At 40.5% G+C, this 18,815-nt stretch overlaps 1 protein-coding gene across 1 annotated transcript in view, besides 1 other annotated feature; it reads right to left on the bottom strand.

Moving 5' to 3' along the window:
* PALM2AKAP2 (PALM2 and AKAP2 fusion) overlaps positions 1 to 18,815 on the bottom strand; it is a 531,726-nt gene that overhangs the window by 456,889 nt on the left and 56,022 nt on the right. The window lies entirely within an intron of this gene.
* Positions 9,781 to 10,075: a silencer, noted in NCBI's record as "tiled region #9563; K562 Repressive non-DNase unmatched - State 13:Ctcf". NCBI's record gives its function as "represses a minimal TATA promoter and a strong SV40 promoter by Sharpr-MPRA in K562 cells {active_cell/tissue: K562}" and the evidence as "EXISTENCE:reporter gene assay evidence [ECO:0000049][PMID:27701403]".

The following is an 18,815-nucleotide window of genomic DNA, read 5'->3' as shown; positions in this document are numbered from 1 at the left end:
TTCAGAAGACAAAACACGACACGCACATAAGGCAGGGGCTGGGCTGGGTTGCACTGCAGGGAGTGGACAGCAGGCTGAGCGGCTGGATTGGAATGGAATGCTCACATGTAGTCAGAAGAAGAGCTAATAAGGATGCATCCCTGGGAAGAAGAACGGAGATAAGCAGGGAACGTTGAACGACTGCCCAGCCCTCCTAACCCCTCTTAGGATCTGTCCCTGGGCAGGGAGAAGTAAATGAGTCTGAAGTGAATAATTCAATGTCAAGTCACTTGTATTTCATGCCTCCCAGGTGCCACGGACTGGCCTTCCCTAAGTCCCCAAAACCTTTTTGACTGGACCACTTTTGTACATTTCCAAATTCTCTAATTCTTAGGTATTCTCATCTGGAAAGCGGGCCTATCTCACAGGGTTGATGTGAAGATTAGAATTTGTATAAATAAAATATCCTAGGAGAGCACCTGGAACCGAGAAAGTATTTGACAGCAGACAGCTATTATTATGCCTGTTTTCAAAAGATAGTGTAGATCAGTGGACATAGCACAAACTCAGAGTCCAACTGACTTTGGATGCTGTTGCAGGGCTTATTCTCCACAAAGCAGATGCCCAGATGGGATTTGTGCACAGGGAGATTATTGGCTGGCACAGTAGGATGCAAGTGCTGTGAGGAAGTTGGGGAGAAGCTAAACTTTGATGCAGTCACAACAGGGGCAGCCCATCCCATGGGAACTCTCATGCTCAGCTGACCCTTCTGAAGTATCTTGCTTCATGGCTAGGAGATGGGGCCGTTATTCCTCCTCATCCACCAGTCATCAAGTCTGTGCTGGCCCTGGGAGGTGGCTGCCTTCAGGTGAGGGCAATTCCTAGAGAGGGGCTCACCTGAGAGTGCCAGCCACTGGGTGAGGGAATGAGAACCTCATCCTGGGCACGAACCACAGCATCCTCTACTGGTGTTCAATACATGGTCATAATTATCGGTGTTAATTATCTTTGTTGGATCAGCTAGTAGCTGCTCATCCAAGTCCTTGTCTTGACTTGGTGGGCACAGGTAATATCCAGGTCTTTGACCATTCCACCCACTTGGATGGTTGGAAACAGAGGTTTGCAAATTCTCAAGCAAAGAAGGAATGGGGTGAAATTGGTATTCAAACCTGATTTTAACAGCTGTTCATGGATGATCTTGGAATGGAGGAGAAATTAAAGATAAGAAGACCATCCAAGAGGCAATCAGAGTAGCCCAGGCTTGGAGTGATGAGAGCTCCCAGTCCATGGCAATAGTTGTGGAAATTGTGAAGGTTTGGGATTCCAGAGACAGTAAAGGGAGGGAGTAGAGGGACAGAGAGATTTCGTAATGAACCTAAGGTGGTAAATTAAGGAGGAATAGGAGCACAATATTCTCTAAGGTTGGGAGGATCTCAGAGGTTAACAATTGGAAGTAACTAGATAGCAGTACTCTTCTGTAGAGAAAGGTGACTAATTTGGTTTTTGACATGAAATGTCCCTGAGACAGATGGAGAAATGGCAGTGAATAAACAATCAGGCTGGAAAGTTGTCTAGCTAATTAATTTTTTTTAATTAATAGACTCTTTCTGCAGTATTAGGCTTACAAAAAAACTGAACAGAAAGTACAAAGAGTGTCCATATACCCTCAAGTTTCTCCTATTATTAATATCTTGCATTAGTATGATACATGTGCTACAGTTGATGAGCTAATATTAATATCTTATAGTTTACTAGACCTATTCTTTGTGTTGTACATTCTATGGGCTTTGAAAAATGTAATATGTAAAAATATCCACCATTACAGTATCATACAGAGTAGTTTCACTGCCCTAAAAATCCCCTGTGCTCTGCCTATTCATCCCTTCCTCCTTCCAGGTTCCTGGCAACCATTGATCTTTTTACTGTCTTTCTAGTTTTGCCTTTTCCAGAATATCACATAGTTGGAGTCATACACCATGTCGTTTCTTCAGATCTGCTTGCTAATGAGATTTTTGAAATAGACTTTGATTTGCTTGGAAACTCATTTGATTTTCAACAAGGTAATAATAACAGCTTTTGTTGTACTTGATTTGCCTTTATTCTTAAATAACCTTATTTTAAAGGAGACTTTATATCACTAGCATATATAGAAAAATAGTATTCCCTGACATAATACAGGACAGCTATGAAATATATCATTTAAATAGATAGATAGATTTATATTTAAATTATAAAATGATCATGCATGTGCTATCTAAAAATAACCTTTCTTACCACCTGTTGATGCCCACACTTTAGGAGACACTGACTTAGATATTTCCCAGCCCCCACTTTCAGTTCCATTCCTTTGATCTGCAGCATGAAGGCTGGGAAAAGAGAAAACCAAAGGAAAATAGACTTGCTGCCTCCAAGTGTTTGAAGAGCTCCCAAGAAGAAGGAAGAAGGGAGCATTCAATAAATGCCTGCCATGTGCCAAGTACCATGATAGATGGTTAAAATATATTATTTGGCCCAAACTCCACAATGGCCCAGGTGATGGGGATCCTGATCTTCGTCTAAGAGACCAGAAAGCCAAGATTCTGAGAGATTCTAACATGCTCTGCTACTTAAGTGATGGAGCAGAGTCAAACCCAATATCTCCATCCATTCATCTGGACTGTGTGGCCCATCAGGGTGAAAGAGATTTATTCTTTGTGCTTTAGAAAGCAGGACTAGGACCAAATGTTGCATAAGCATATTTCACTTCAGCTCAGCTCAGAAGTACTTTTCTTGTGTTATCATGGTCTAACAGTGGAAATAGACTGCCTTGGGGAAGTAGTGAGCTTTCTCTGCCCTGAATGTGCAGAAACTATGGCTGGAGACCACCTAAATGGGGAGCCACAGAGGGCTCCCAAATGTGAGATGGGTATGGGATCTCTAAGCTCTTCTGGGCCAAACATTCTGTAACTCCAAGCCTCTGTGCCTCCTTCTACTAACACCTAAACTTCCAAAGAAAAAGCCATTGGCTTGTTTGAACATCAGCAGGGCATTAATACATCTTTGGGTCACCTTAATCTTTCTGCAAACCATATTCCTTCTGCAGCCTTTATTAGGGCACCACATGAAAGACAGAAGGCATCAAAACAACTGTTTCCAGATGAATCTGATGAGTTGAATTATTGGAAAAAACACGTCATTGGAAAGCTGACACACTTCTGGAGACCGGGAAAACGTATTCCATAAGTCTATTAGTATCACCTTGGATAGAGATAAAAGAGCCTCCTTGCAAAAGAAATATGTTGAAACGTGACTTGAGCATCAGCTTGCTGTTTAGCAAAAAGCTCTGAGGTTAATCTTCTCTTTTGTCAGTAGATATTACCACTGACTCTAGGATAATACATGGATAATGTTTTAGCTAATCCTTTAACATCTTTATTTAACTACCCTGTAAGCAATGAACTTCGGCCTCAGAATTCCTGGTAATACTGACATGAAACATAAAGATTTAGAAGACTCTTGTATTACCCCTGTTTTATTGGGTGAAAAAGTTCACAGTTCTATAAAGTATATGTATCTGTCAGTTCAAAAGGCACAGCCAAGCTCTTTAGAGCCTACTCTAGAGCCTACTTTTTAGGTGAGTTGCTCACACACACACACACACACACACACACAAGCACTCACACAAGGACAGGCACATGCCACAAGGATAGCTCAGGAAGTCATCATTCATTTGGAATGTCTTCATTAATAAGTATATATAGATAGATAACAAAAGCCATGATTTTGCTGTCTCCTGCTCTGAAAGAAATGGAAGATCCCAGTCGCTGGACAGCCTAACACCATCTCACTAAGGGCCCTGTTAATCCAACAGAAATGTGTTCAGAGTACCCCGAAGGATTTCCCTGGAGGGAAAAGCTGATGTATGTTTAGCTCTCTGTGCCATAAGTGGAGCCTAAGCTTTCTTAAGGCGACTTTCACAGGGAGAAGGATGCCACCTTTTCTCTCTCCTGTTAGTTGCTGGACTCCCAGCTCTGTTATGTCAGGTGCCTGTGCACCCCTTTAACCAGCACACTCAGGACCAGCCTTGGGGCCCTCATAATCCTTCAACTCAGACTCACTAACCACCCTCCAATGTCGTCTTGAAGTAGTTTTTTAAATAAATACTTGGATTCACTTTATCTACCAAATATCTATAACACAACACCAAAATATAATCAAATGAAAAATGTATACACTTTGTACATCTAATTAATTGATCTGTGAGACTCCAGTAACTCTCTCATCCATGATTCATGAGGGTTTTATGAACCATCAAAATCTTCTCAGTAGTGCATATTAATATTGTATTTCAACAAACTCTCCTGTTTATGTTCAGAAGACATAGAATGTCTCTATGCTTCAGAATAGCCAGACAGATTCCACTTGGTAGAAAAGTGTGAACCCATAATCTTTTAACCAAGGCTACTACCAGGCTACTACCACCACCTTTCCATTTTTTTTTTAAATTAAGAACAAGGTCATTCCCTCTTGTCTGGCAAGGGCAACAATGTCCAAATATGGGCATCCTGGAATAAAGAACCTTTTTTCCACTTGAATTCCTATGGAGATCAACATGGCAATTATAATGCTTGTGTTCATCATGGAAACTGTCTTCAACCAGTTTTGCATGCATGTAGTGCTACAAACAGAATAAACATGCAGTGTAGATTTCAAATTGTGGCCACGTTGGAGAAACAGAATTTATAAACTGTAGCTCCTGCTTTTTCCCTGCTCTTTCTTTTCCAGAAGGTATATCAACTTCATTCTCCCTGCAAGGCCCATGGAGCCAATGGCAGACACCATTGGCTGCAATTTCAAGAGGCTCCAAACATTTCTGAGCTTAAGCAAAGTTGTAGCAGAGTTCAAGTATCCTTATTGCTCCTGCAACACTAATACCAGTTACCCAAGGTGAGGAGAGGAGGGGACAGGAAATAAATATCTGTTGAGGACAGACGGGAAACCAAGCACTGTACTCTGTCATCCAATCCTGAGAGCCATCCAGTGAATTCAAGGGAATCATCATTCCCAAAAGGTGATCAACAAGTGCTACTTCCCTTCCCACCCCGTCTTGCAGGTGAAAAAAACTGATGCTCAACATCATACTAACTTGCGACAGTGTCAGAATCCCAGGCTTCCATCTGCCTATAGAGTTCATTCTTTTCCTGTTACCAAATGCTGACTCCTTTAATTCTTTCTGTGGATTTGGGCTCTGGTTTCTCAGTCTCCATCAGAGCCTTGATAAATTGTGGTGTAGTTTGTGCCTTGCACAAAGAAACCAGACTGCTGGGCAGGAAGGGCTGAAAGTTAGCCTGTGCTCTACCCAAAAAGCCATGTCTCCTTCTGGGGCTGTGCATTACTTTCCAAAGTCTGCTTTAACAAATTACCACAAACTGACCAAAAACAACAGAAATTTATCCTCTCACAGTTCTGGAGGCCAGAAGTCCTAAGGTGTTGGCACGATTGGGTCCTTCTATAGGCTCTGAGGAAGCATTTGTTCCCTGCCTTTCTCCTAGCTTCTGCCAGCTGCCAGCAATACTTGGCATTCCTTGGCTTGTAGTTACGCCACTCCAATCTCTGCTTCCATCATCAAATGGCCTTCTTCTCACTGTTTCTTTTCTTCTTATAAGGACACCTGTCATTGGATTTAGGGCCCATCTGGGTAATCCACGATGATCTCAATCTCAAGATCCTTAATTACATCTGCAAAGATCCTTTTTCCAAATAAGATCATATTCACAGGTAGTAGGGGTTAGGACTTGCACATATCCTTTTGGGGCCAACATTCAAATCGCTACAGGTTGTATACACCTGAAGGAAGAGCAGCTTTTTTTAACTGTGGATGTGCTTTCCTCTTTAGCACAGGGACCTGTGAGCCAATGAAGCCCTGGTCTCCTTGGTGCATTCCCTGATGCCTGTGTCCATCAGTCTGGGCTTCTGACCCATTCTTTCTATTCATGCTACCAAAGCCTTTAACCCATGCCTGGGCCCCTGACAGCCTCCTCAGCTCCTGCTACCCCTCTGAGGAGTAGAGCCTGGTGAAGTCAACACATGGTCAGGGTCTGAAATTAGGTCTGTTCACAGAGTTGTATGAAGGAAGACTGGCCCTGAGGGCACAGGCTTGACTTGGCAAGAGACGGTAAAAGATAGTGTTGATGGAAAGCCATGGCCTGAACAACAGGCAGTGGCCCAGGTGAGCAAGCAGCATCCAGGGGAGTTGTCCAAAGGGGCTCAAAGCTCATAGCAACAAAGATGGAGTGACAGCCATCTTGACAAAGTCACATGGGAGGCAGGAAGAAGCATACAGAAAGAAGATGCAAGTGTCAGGCATCCAAGCACTAGGCTGGGCCTTACAAGGGGATTTGACAAGATAACTACACAGGGTGTCACAGTCAGGTCCCAAAGTTACAGCCAGATCCAGCAATAAAAGGAACATGCTACAGTGCCCCAGGATGTGGGCTGTGGTCTCTTCAATCTCTCCTGCTAATGGCCAGGATCTGTTTGGATTCCCCCAGTATTCCCATTTGAGAGAAGAGTAGTGCAAGGTAGGAGTCAGGCCAGGCCTCTCTGCTCAGCCCCTTGACAGGCTCAAGTACCACTATAGCTGGCCCCATCCCTGCTGACCAACCCTCTGTGAATTGCCCTTGCATTCCAGGTCTACCCTTAGCAGTTGTGGCCCAGTCCTCTGAATTCTCCTGCACAGCCTTCCTGACGTTCACACCATCCCAGATCTTGTCCTGAGTCTAGGTTTCAACTACCCAATGCTGGCAATGAGAGAGGCAAAGGAGAACTTACAAAGTACATGAGCTATCCCTGGAGGATTTCCAGTGTCGCTAAAGCAGGAAGCAAGCAGAACCTCATGGTAATTTTATTTTTGGATTTTGTGCCACCCATAGAAGTGAGTAAGAATAGACATTCAAAGACTTTCTAAGAATGCTCATGTGCAAAAAGGCTTGCCTGGATTGATTTCAGAAAGCAAACCTAAATTCCATTCCAGGAATTGTACAGCCTCGCAAGTTCCTCAGCTTCTAAATAAAAATCCCTGAGAATCTAATAATAAAGTCTTGGCGGTGCACATGGCTTTGCAGTGTTTATATTTAGCAAACATTTTCCACTCTGAAATGATTTCCTGCCAAAAATATTACATTCCAATAGATTTTGCCATATGATGCTTGATGCTTAATTTATTGTTTCCAAAATCATCATTGTCATAGAATTTGGGGTTTATGATGAAAATATGAAGAGTGAATTCAATATTTTGTCTTTAGTCAGCCTCCAGATTAAGGGTATTGATTGAGGTCCTGCTGTCTATAGTAAGTTGAGCCAGACTAAGAGAAAACAGGACTTACTCTTGTAGCATGTGATGGGCTTGTTTAGAATTAGTAAAAGATGTGGCCAGAGACAAAGGAGGCATTGGATGTGATCAGGAAATACCTTCCTGAGGTCTGATCACCTAAACAGTAGGGAGTCATCATCAGCTGTTGTACAAAGGAATCAACAATACTCTTATGATGAAATATGACAATGATGCCCACAGCGATTTAAAGAAGAAAGATAGTGGAGGGAGGGAGAGGAGTGGGACCTTTTGTTCTGTAAATAATGAGCGAGATGTGGTGTCAGTGAAAATGGAGAAGGGGCCATGAAGATCTTATGGGAAAGGCACTGGGCTTGGCCTGGGTTTGAATCTACAAGCTATTCATTTCAATGAGCCTGTTTCCTCATCTGTGAAATGGGAGCTATTGGTATCGGTGCCACTATGCGATTATGAGATCATTTATTGGATGGCACAAAGTAGTCACTAAATAAGTAAATGCTTACAGAATCTAAAGAAAGATCCTGGAGACTGGGGTGAAAATTATCCTTCCTTGCTGACTGTATCAAACAGGATTCTTAGGAGCAAGCAGAGAAACTGAGCATGGAAGGAAAGGAACTGATCGGAAGGCTATTAATAAACTCACACAATTAGTGGGAAAGTTAAAGAAACAGGCTTGGAAACAGGCAGGACCAGAAGACTAAGTAGCATTTAGTCACAGGCAAAATCAAGCCAAAAGTCAATGTGGTGAGATCACTCCTGCTGAGCACAGTGTGGCCATGCCTTGCACTACCTGGCACTGGACACGGACGCTGTCCCTGGAAACCAAGTTGGCTGTTGTCACTGCTCACCTGCCATCAGAATGGATTTCCCACTGTCCTCACTTCTTTGTATCTGAAGTGTATCTTTGTATTTGAAGTGCCTGACTTCAAAGCTGGGGCAGGGTGGGGGCCTCTAAACTTTAGCAAGCAGGTACCAGCGTTTTCCATTTTATAATGGGAGGCGGCTGATGCACTCCACCAAGACTCATAAATGGTGGTGGTAGGGGGGCAGTTCTCTAAACTTGGAAATGGATTCAAATGCTGGCAGCCAGAAAAATGACACATGTCCACTGCCATCACCAAGTGGAAAGAGAGGCCATGCAGAGAGAGGAGGCTAAGGTTATTTATTGTAAAGATTAAAGCCCAAGGTCAGGGAAACTGTGACTCTGTTTTCAAAACTTGGAGAATAATAAGCTGATTCTTAATAACTTACTGAGATATAAATTTTACATACTCTATAAAGCTCACTCACTTAGTGTACTAGTCAATGGTTTTTAGCATATTAAAATAATTGTGCAACCACCACCATAATCTAAATTTAGAATATTTTTATCACCCAAAATACCCTTAGTAGTCACTTCCCACCCCAGCCCACACTCAGCTCTAGGAAACCACTAATCTAACTTCTGCCTCTCTAGATTTACTTATTCTGGACATTTAAAATAAATGGGATCACACAGTATATAGGTTTTGTGACTTGCTTCTTTCATTTAGCGTGTTTGTTAAGGTGCATCCAGGTTGTAGCATGTATAAATATGTCATTCTTTTCATGGCAAAACAATATTTTATTTATGGACATACCAAATTTTCTTTATCTATTTTTCCATTGACAGACATTTGTGTTGTTTCTACTTTTTTGGCAATTATGGATAATGCTGCTATGAACATTTGTGGACAAGTTTTTGTGTGAACGTATGTTTGCATTTCTCCTGGAAATATATCTAGGTAGTAGAATTCCCAGCTCATATTGTAACTCTATGTTTAGCATTTTGTGAAAGAGTCAAACTTTTTTCCAAAGTGGCTGCACCACTTTATATCCCCACCAGTAATGTATGAGTATTTGGGTTTCTCTACATCCTTACCAATACTTGTTATTATTTGTATCTTTCATAATATCCATTGTAGTGGATATGAGTTATAAATGATTTTTTAAGTTTGACAGTTTGCCATGGTAGTGAATATCAAAAAAATAATCCTGAATTCAGCTAGCTACCATCATCATCATTATTATGAGTATTACTGAGGAATCAAGTTGGTGAATTTAAATGAAATCATTTTTATTTTTCTAAAAAACTGCAATACAGCCTTTTTAGTTCATAATTACATCTTGAACATATCTCATAGCTTTCCAGGCATGTTTTTTGAAAAGGTATTAAAATTTCAAACCAGTTAAATGTTTCTATCTCAAATGTGATTGAAATCTCACCTCTTCCCCTCCCCTTCCCTTCTACACGATTTTGATCCCTTGCTGGGGAGACTTGAAGTTAGAGGCAAGCATGGTTCATTCCTTCTTTTCTTCTCTCCTCCCTTAGTGGGACTTGGGGCAGGGCAGAAGGATTGGGGAATTATAGTGACATAATTGCTGTTCTTAATAGTGGATTCAGTTAATTCAATTGACCTATGGAGTAAGAAACTTTTATTATCTCTATTTAACAAATGAGAAACCAGAGGCACAGAGAAGTTAAATAATTCAACTAGGTTAAGTGACTCAACTAAAAGCATACAGTTAGTAAGTGGCAGAGGCTGGATTCAAACCCAAGTAGTCTGACTCCAAATATCTGTGCACTTAACCACTATGCTATCTTTGGAAAAGGACAAATACCACCTTCCTTAACTGGGTAGTTCTGCCTCCCAGTGGTAAGTCATAGGGAGGTGCCTGGATCCAACTGTCATTGGATCTTCTCAAATGTGGGTCACATAGCAATATTTTGTCCCATTCAACATCCTCTGGAAGCCCTTGGAGTGAATGGGTCAAAAGCAAAGACTGAAACACTAAGAACTGAACCACAGGAGATGACACAGGAAGAAGTGGGGGACACAAGTGACACATAGTAGCGATGGTGCCAGGTCATCCAAGAGAAGACAGAATTTCAGCCCACTTGTTTCAAAGTATAAAGTTTTCCTAAAGGCCAAGGAAAGTCCCAGAGAAGGTGGGATAATGACAACAACAAGGAGCCTGAGGCACAAACAATGGCATCCAGTAACACAGGGGTGGAGGTACATTTTGGAAAAGGCGATTAAGTGGAAAGAGTGAGTTATATGTGGAAATTAATATCAAGTAGTTGAAGGAGCATGCTAGGGGCACTTGTTTTCCAAGTCAATGAGGAGGGTATTGTTCACTCATTTGAAGGAAGGGTACCCACAGTCACAGATGACATTCACGGAGCCCTGTCCTGGTGGGCTAAGTTCTTTCCAGACATCTTTTCATGCTCATAAAACCTTCAAAGGTTAAGTTCTAGTTATGATCATCTTTCTTTTCCAGATGTAGTTAGGAAATGCAACCAAGGTCCTGCAGCTGGTGAGTGCTGAGTTCCATCTGATGCCCACACCTACGTTCTCACACATGTTCTCTTGACTCTCAGCATGTGGGACTGGGGGCTAAGGAGAGAGGAATGGTTTAAAGCAGCCCTTTTGGAGACCTGCCAGGGAGAAATGGAGAGAAGATGTGTCAAGCACTGGTGAGAGCCAAGTTGAAGTGAATGGCAGCTCATGGGGAGCTGAGTATTTATTGTTTTATGTTGTTCTCAAATCCTTTGGGGCAGAAGGGCAGCAATGGGGAAGGTAGATGGTGGCAGAGCTGGGTTTGAAGATTATCACGCATGTGAAATGACACCAACAGGTGAAAGGCCTGAGAAGAGGGGAAGGACAGCCTTGAAACAGTCAGCAGGGGCCACCCTCTGGCTCCCTGTAGCCTCACTGACCTCCCTAAAGAAGAGTTATTTAAAATCTGTGAGGGTGGAAACATTTTCCATCAGAAACTCCATTCTGCAGTATCCTCCCTCTAAAACTTTTTCTCCCTACAATGAAGGACCAAGGACTACTTCTTGCTACCATTCCCCATTTAATTGGATCCATGTCAATAATTCACACATTTATACAAGTGAATTTACAGTCTATGGCTCATCTGATTTCAATCATTTACACATCGTGCATAGGGAAGTAATTCAGAACCAGCACTGGCTTAGCTGTGGCTTTACAGGCTAAAAAGGGGGGAAATTTGGAAGAAGTATGAATCTGCTGACTTCATGGTCATAGTTGAGAACTTCTCTGAGCACCAACCCACCTGCCCAGCTGGTAAATATCCGGCCTGAAGAAGGGCATCTTCTGTTCTTTCTTTCAGCCCCTGAGTACCTGCTTTTTCTGCTCTATACTCCATCTCAAGCTCCCAGTGCCAGGAACTCATCTATCTATTCTCTCAGAGATGTCCCCTCACCACTGTCCTAAAACTGCAAGGCTCACAGAGTGAGGTCCAAGATACAAGAACCTGGCCAAGGAGCCTTTCAAAAGTGACCAGTGTGGACTGAAGGCAAGTGGATCCTTCTCCAGGGGTCTGGACTATGAAAGACCTCTTAATTTTTGTATGACCTTCAGTCTAACATAGTTTCAGGAAATAAAATAATACAAATTTTCTTATATCCAAGGACTGCATAAACTAATGTCCTCTGTAGATTAGTTAACATATTCTCAAGTAGGTTAATTTTTTTACCTCAGTACCTGCCCATCATTAACAAATATTAAACTGATATATCTAAAGTTTATATATGTTCATGAAACACAATCACACTGCAGGATCTTTCACACTAACACCATCCCCCTGTCTTTTAGAGAATGGGTTTATTTCTGATTTTCATAAATAAGCAGTTATTCTCGGTGATTCCAAATTAGTCATTAAAGTTGACAAGATGATTTGTCCAATTTCTATTTTTTTGGCATTGAATAAAGAAGCTATTTTGAAAAAAGTACATACTTGTGAAACTTGCCAAAAATTTTGCCATTATAAAATACCACTGTAAGACATTTTCAGGACATAATAGAATTATCATAAAAACATATTGCCAGAAACATACTGGGTATGCAATAAATATATTTTGAATGAATGAGAACCACTCTAGGATCTTATATATAGAAAACTTAGATAGTAAGAAAAATCCTTCTCTTTAGTCACAACAGAAATACATACCAAACTGAAACTACACACTTCAGATAAAGCCTGGAAAATATTTTTATGTTAAGTTATATCATGCTGAATACATTTTACTGGGAATACTGACCTGAATATCAGCAATATTGCAAAAGACAACTCCAAGTTATATATATGTATATTTGAATTTCTGAATTCAACCAAATGGGAAATGTCTTTTAGAAATGGTAAAAAATAGGCCAGGCACAGTGGCTCACGCCTATAATTCCAGCACTTTGAGAGGCCGAGGCGGGCAGATCACTTGAGGTCAGGAGTTCAAGATCAACCTGGCCAACTTGGTGAAACCCCATCTCTACTAAAAATACAAAAATTATCTGGGCCTGTTGGCATGTGCCTGTACTCCCAGCTACATGGGAGGCTAAGGCAGGAAAATCGCTTGAACCTGGGAAGCGGAGGTTGCCGTGAACCAAGATCACAGCACTGCACTCCAGCCTAGGCGACCAAGTGAGACTCTGTCTCAAAAAAAAAAAAGAAAGAAAAGAAAAAGTAAAAAACAAAAGTTACATCATCATGCCCAAGGATTTATTTTCTTTTTTTTTTTTTATTATTATACCTTAAGTTTTAGGGCACATGTGCACAACATGCAGGTACATGTTAGTTACATATGTATACATGTGCTATGTTGGTGTGCTGCACCCATTAACTCCTCATTTAACATTAGGTATATCTCCTAATGCTATCCCTCCCCCCTACCCCCACCCCCACAACAGGCCCCGGTGTGTGATGTTCCCCTTCCTGTGTCCATGTGTTCTCATTGTTCAATTCCCACCTATGAGTGAGAACATGTGGTGTTTGGTTTTTTGTCCTTGCAATAGTTTGCTGAGAATGATGGCTTCCAGCTTCATCCATGTCCCTACAAAGGACACGAACTCATCCTTTTTTATGGCAGCATAGTATTCCATGGTGTATATGTGCCACATTTTCTTAATCCAGTATATCATTGTTGGACATTTGGGTTGGTTCCAAGTCTTTGCTATTGTGAATAGTGCCACAATAAAACATACGTGTGCATATGTCTTTATAGCAGCATGATTTATAATCCTTTGGGTATATACCCAGTAATGGGATGGCTGGGTCAAATGGTATTTCTAGTTCTAGATCCCTGAGGAATCGCCACACTGACTTTCACAATGGTTGAACTAGTTTACAGTCCCACCAACACTGTAAAAATGTTCCTATTTCTCCACATCCTCTCCAGCACCTGTTGTTTCCTGACTTTTTAATGATTGCCATTCTAACTGGTGTGAGATGGTAGCTCATTGTGGTTTTGATTTGCATTTCTCTGATGGCCAGTGATGATGAGCATTTTTTCGTGTGTCTTTTGGCTGCATAAATGTCTTCTTTTGAGAAGTGTCTGTTCATATCCTTTGCCCACTTTTTGATGGGGTTGTTTTTTTCTTGTAAATTTGTTTGAGTTCATTGTAGATTCTGGATATTAGCCCTTTGTCAGATGAGTAGATTGCAAAAATTTTCTCCCATTCTGTAGGTTGACTGTTCACTCTGATGGTAGTTTCTTTTGCCGTGCAGAAGCTCTTTAGTTTAATTAGATCCCATTTGTCAATTTTGGCTTTTGTTGCCATTGCTTTTGGTGTTTTAGACATGAAGTCCTTGCCCATGCCTATGTGCTGAATGGTATTGCCTAGGTTTTCTTCTAGGATTTTTATGGTTTTAGGTCTACCATTTAAGTCTTCAATCCATCTTGAATTAATTTTTGTATAAGGTGTAAGGAAGGGATCCAGTTTCAGCTTTCTACATATGGCTAGCCAGTTTTCCCAGCATCATTTATTAAATAGGTAATCCTTTCCCCATTTCTTGTTTTTGTCAGGTTTGTCAAAGATCAAATGGTTGCAGATGTGTGGTATTATTTCTGAGGGCTCTGTTCTGTTCCATTGGTCTATATCTCTGTTTTGGTATCAGTACCATGCTGTTTTGGTTACTATAGCCTTGTAGTATAGTTTGAAGTCAGGTAGTGTGATGCCTCCAGCTTTGTTCTTTTGGCTTAGGATTGACTTGGCAATGTGGGCTCTTTTTTGGTTCCATATGAACTTTAAAGTAGTTTTTTCCAATTCTGTGAAGAAAGTCATTGGTAGTTTGATGGGGATGGCATTGAATCTATAAATTACCTTGGCATGCCCAAGGATTTATTTTCTAACCGTGGTATCTTGTAGATTGTTTTGTTGTCTGTATCCATAATATATATACCCCAACCTTACATTATCTCTTAAAATTTAATACTTAATACAAAATATTCTTTAAAATATTCCCTTTTCCAACTACAAAATGTTGCATTTCAGCTTTTATTTCCATGCCTATCATATGCAATATCCCATACTTTGTTATTGTTACGATTCCAGTCATATTATTGACATAGTACATTTTTGCCAGCTACACTCATGTTTGACCTTCCAGTGAAAGGCTAATTTTATTTGGTGTTAAAATGAACACTTTGAAAACATAAGAGAGTGGTGAAAAAGAAAACAGAGAAATAATACATCTGCTTTCCTGGATTAAAAGGATATGAAGCATCCAAAGAGCTCCAGGTGAGACAGACACAGCCCAGCAAAAATTTTCAAATAAATATTTGGGGAGGATGCCAAGAGCTTTTTAGAGTAAGTTTTTAGAAAGAGCCCAAGCTTTCCAGTGAGACAACAAAGTGTAATTGTGAACAAGCAATCTATCCGAGAGGAATTTTGAGATGTCATGGGGCAGTTGTATTCAGAAGGACATAAGAAATCATTAAAGAGTTTGAGCAAAAAATCATTTAAAATATTGGATTGAGTGCTGTATTAGTCTGTTCTCATGCAGCTAACAAAGACATACTCAAGACTGGGTAATTTATAAAGGAAAGATGTTTAACGGACTCACAGTTCCACATGACTGGGGAGGCCTCAAAATCATGGCGGAAGGCGAAGGAGGAGCAAAGTCACGTCTTACATGATAGCAGGCAAGAGAGTATGTGGAGGGGAACTACCCTTTATAAAACCATCAGATCTTGTGAAACTTGTTCAGTATCAGGAGAGCAGCACAGGAAAAACCCACCCCCATGATTCAATTACCTTCCACCACGTCCCTCCCATGACACGTGGGGATTATGGGAGCTACAATTCAAGATGAGATTTGGGTGGGGACACAGCCAAACCACATCAAGTGCAGAATGAATTTGGTGGTATTTATATCTCTTCCTTCCCATTTGGTACAATATTTTAATGTATTATAAGAGTAGGCCAGGCACAGTGGCTCAAGCCTGTAATCTCAGCAATCTGGGAGGCTGAGGTGGGCAGATTACGAGGTCAGGAGATCAAGATCATCCTGGCCAACATGGTGAAACTCTGTCTCTACTAAAAATACAAAAATTAGCCGGGTGTGGCGGCACATGCCTGTAGTCCCAGCTACTCAGTAGGCTGAGGCAGAAGAATTGCTTGAACCCGGGAGGCGGAGGTTGCAGTGAGCCGAGATCATGCCCACTGCACTCCAGCCTGGGCGACAGAGTGAGACTCCATCTCAAAAAAAAAAAAAATAAATAAAGGTAATGGCTGCTGACAGTTGATATTGGAAAATACAGGGGAAAAAAAATGGAAATAAAAATCACTTCTTATTCAATCACCTCTGAATAATCAATCTTAATATTTTGGCTTCCTCTTCTCTGTCTGTCCATTTGGGTTCTTACTGTGTTGTCATGCTTTCTTCACTTAATAATATACTTTAAGTGCTTTCTCATATTTTTACTCTGAAAATATGGATTTTAATGGTGGAATAATGTTCTGGCCTATAATTTTGTCAGCAAATTTAATCATCTAATTTTGGAATAGATTGCTTGCAATTTTTCCTAATTATAAATAATGCTACAATAAACATCCTTGTACAAAAATCTTTATTTACATCTCTGATTATTCCCTCAATATAAAATTCTGAAAAGTGGAATTATGACTCCAATGGCAAGAACTAGTTTCAAGCTTTTGATTTATACTGCCTGATTGTCCACCAGACAGGCATCAGAAAAGAGGTACCAATTCTACTAACAGCTGTGTTGAATCTTTTCAACTACATTCTTGCTTCATAAGGTAATACAGTTACAACATTTTGCCAGTTCAGTGGGTGAAAATGGTATCTTGTGTTTGATTTAATGTGATCATTCTTTGTGAATCATCTGTTTGTGTCTTTGCCCATTTTTCTTTTTGCCCATTTGTCGTTCTGTTATTTTTAAGCACGACTTGCCCATAAAAATGTCCTATGTGCTGCAATCAAGTTGTCATCTTTAGCCTTTCAACTTTATTTCTTCTATTTCTTGTGCACAGAATTTTGAAATGTTATGTAGTCAAATTACTTATATAATTATACATGCATATAGCATTAAATTTCACAGTTTTTCCCCCTCTCCTTTTTGTACATTGAAAAGACATTTACTTACTCTCTGACTCTCAAAAGTAAGTCTCTACCCCTCAAGGCTAGATACTATATTCACTATGGCTTGTCCTTTCCTTTAGCACAGTGCCCGGCACATCACAGGAATCATTAAATGCTTATTGAATGAAAGAACACGTGAACAAATAAATGACCACCACTGCCACAATAGCATTCGTACCAGCCTTCCCACTCTGCATTTCCTGTGCCGTCTCTGAATGGATATACCAATGTGGCGGGAGTGAGAGGCAGGGAGGGGAGATGGTAGGGTAAAGCATTTTGGATGTGTGTTGCCTGCCTCAAAGATTAGCAACCCGGCTGGGTGTGGTGGCTCACGCCTATAATCCCAATACTTTGAGAGACCGAGGCTGGCAGATCACTTGAGGTCAGGGGTTCAAGACCAGCCTGGCCAATATGCCGAAACTCTGTCTCTACTAAAAATACAAAATATTAGCCAGGCGTGGTGGCATGCGCCTATAATCCCAGCTACTCAGGAGGCTGAGGCACAAGAATCGCTTGAACCCGAGAGGCGGAGGTTGCTGCAAGCTGAGATCACGCCATTGCACTCCAGGCTGGGTGACAAAAGCGAAACTCCGTCTCAAAAAAAAAAAAAAAAAAAAAATGTAGCACACATGCAGGTGAAGGGTAAGGCCACTGGGGGCTGTTATATACCCTGGTCTCATGAAATGGACAGTGAGAGATGTATGAAATATATTCAACCATGTCTCAGCTGCAAAAAGGTTTTTTGTATAGTCATGACCTCTGTTCTATGAGGCAGAGACAATGTGTGGTCTCATGTTTCAGGACTGTGCATTGACATCACTTTCTGTGTTGAAGCCCTAAATCCAGTATGTTTGATTCTTAATGTAATCCACAATTCACAGCAGATGTGTGTGTATAATTTGTAACCAGATGCCAAAAGCACTAATAATGGTGCAATGTCTATGTGGCCACAGGTATGAAGGAGGCAGGAAATCTATCATAATTAATGCGGTAAAATGAATGGTAATTAAACTCAGGTTAACAAAAAGCACAATTCATTTAAATGGAGATACATGGCAATTTGTGATCATTTAAAAAGGGCCAGCTGGAAGTTGCAATGCCATTATCTATAAGGGAAGTGTTTACTAAGAAAATTAACAGAATTGCAGAGATAATTCTTAAGATATAGATAATGAGATAGTTTTTTTGCACCCTCTAGGGACTTCAAAAACATACTTTTTCATTTAGAGTACTGACATGCTAATTTTTTTAAATGTAATTTATTCCTAAGGGCAGAAGAAATATTTCTGATAAATGATATTATCCTAAACTGAAGATATTTGATACTACTAATGCTTTGTTTCAAAACACTGAAGCTATTTGAAAATACTAATGCTTTTTTACCACTGTTGAAATAATATAACAGATAATTTATTTACATAGTAGAATATTTAAAAGGTAGAAAAAGTATATAGTGCAAAATTCACTCTATCTTCTTCCTTCTAATTTCATAGACCCCAATTGGCCTCCCCTCTGCAACAAGCAAACACTGTTATGCAGAGATATTCTATACAAAGAGATATTCTATGAATATTCAACTATATTTGTAAATTGCCATTTTAACATAAATGGTAATATATTATTCATATTAATCTATAACTTGCTTTTTTCACTCTATTTTGAGACTTCCATGTCAGTATATAGAGAATAGTTGCTTCTCTCTTCTTAATGTCTAGGTGGTACTCCATTATATGGAATACTGTCATTTATTTAACCAGTACCCTGTTGATGAATGTCTTAGGTGAGATTCTCTAGAAGCACAACCTAAGGGGGAGACTCTCATGCCAGCGATTTATCGAGAAGTGCTTTCAAGAGAATCTTATATAGAAACCAGAGAGAAAAGTTAGGCTGGGGAAGAAGCTAAGGAAAGATGAGGTTTTAGTCAAGTCAAACCTGATCCCATGGGGAGCACTGGAGCATGCATGGCAGCAGGAAAACATTTTGAGTTTTTGTACCACAATATACAATAGATATTGGCTTTGTATATTGCCAATATACAAAGAAATGGTCGTCTGGATAACCTCCCAGCTACTTCCAGGTGAGG

The sequence above is a fragment of the Homo sapiens genome, chromosome 9 (genome assembly GCF_000001405.40).
Source record: "Homo sapiens chromosome 9, GRCh38.p14 Primary Assembly".
In the NCBI taxonomy this organism is placed as follows: Eukaryota; Metazoa; Chordata; class Mammalia; order Primates; family Hominidae; genus Homo; species Homo sapiens.
The sequence above is the reverse complement of the archived record's forward strand: the minus strand, read 5'-3'. Positions and strand labels throughout refer to the sequence as shown.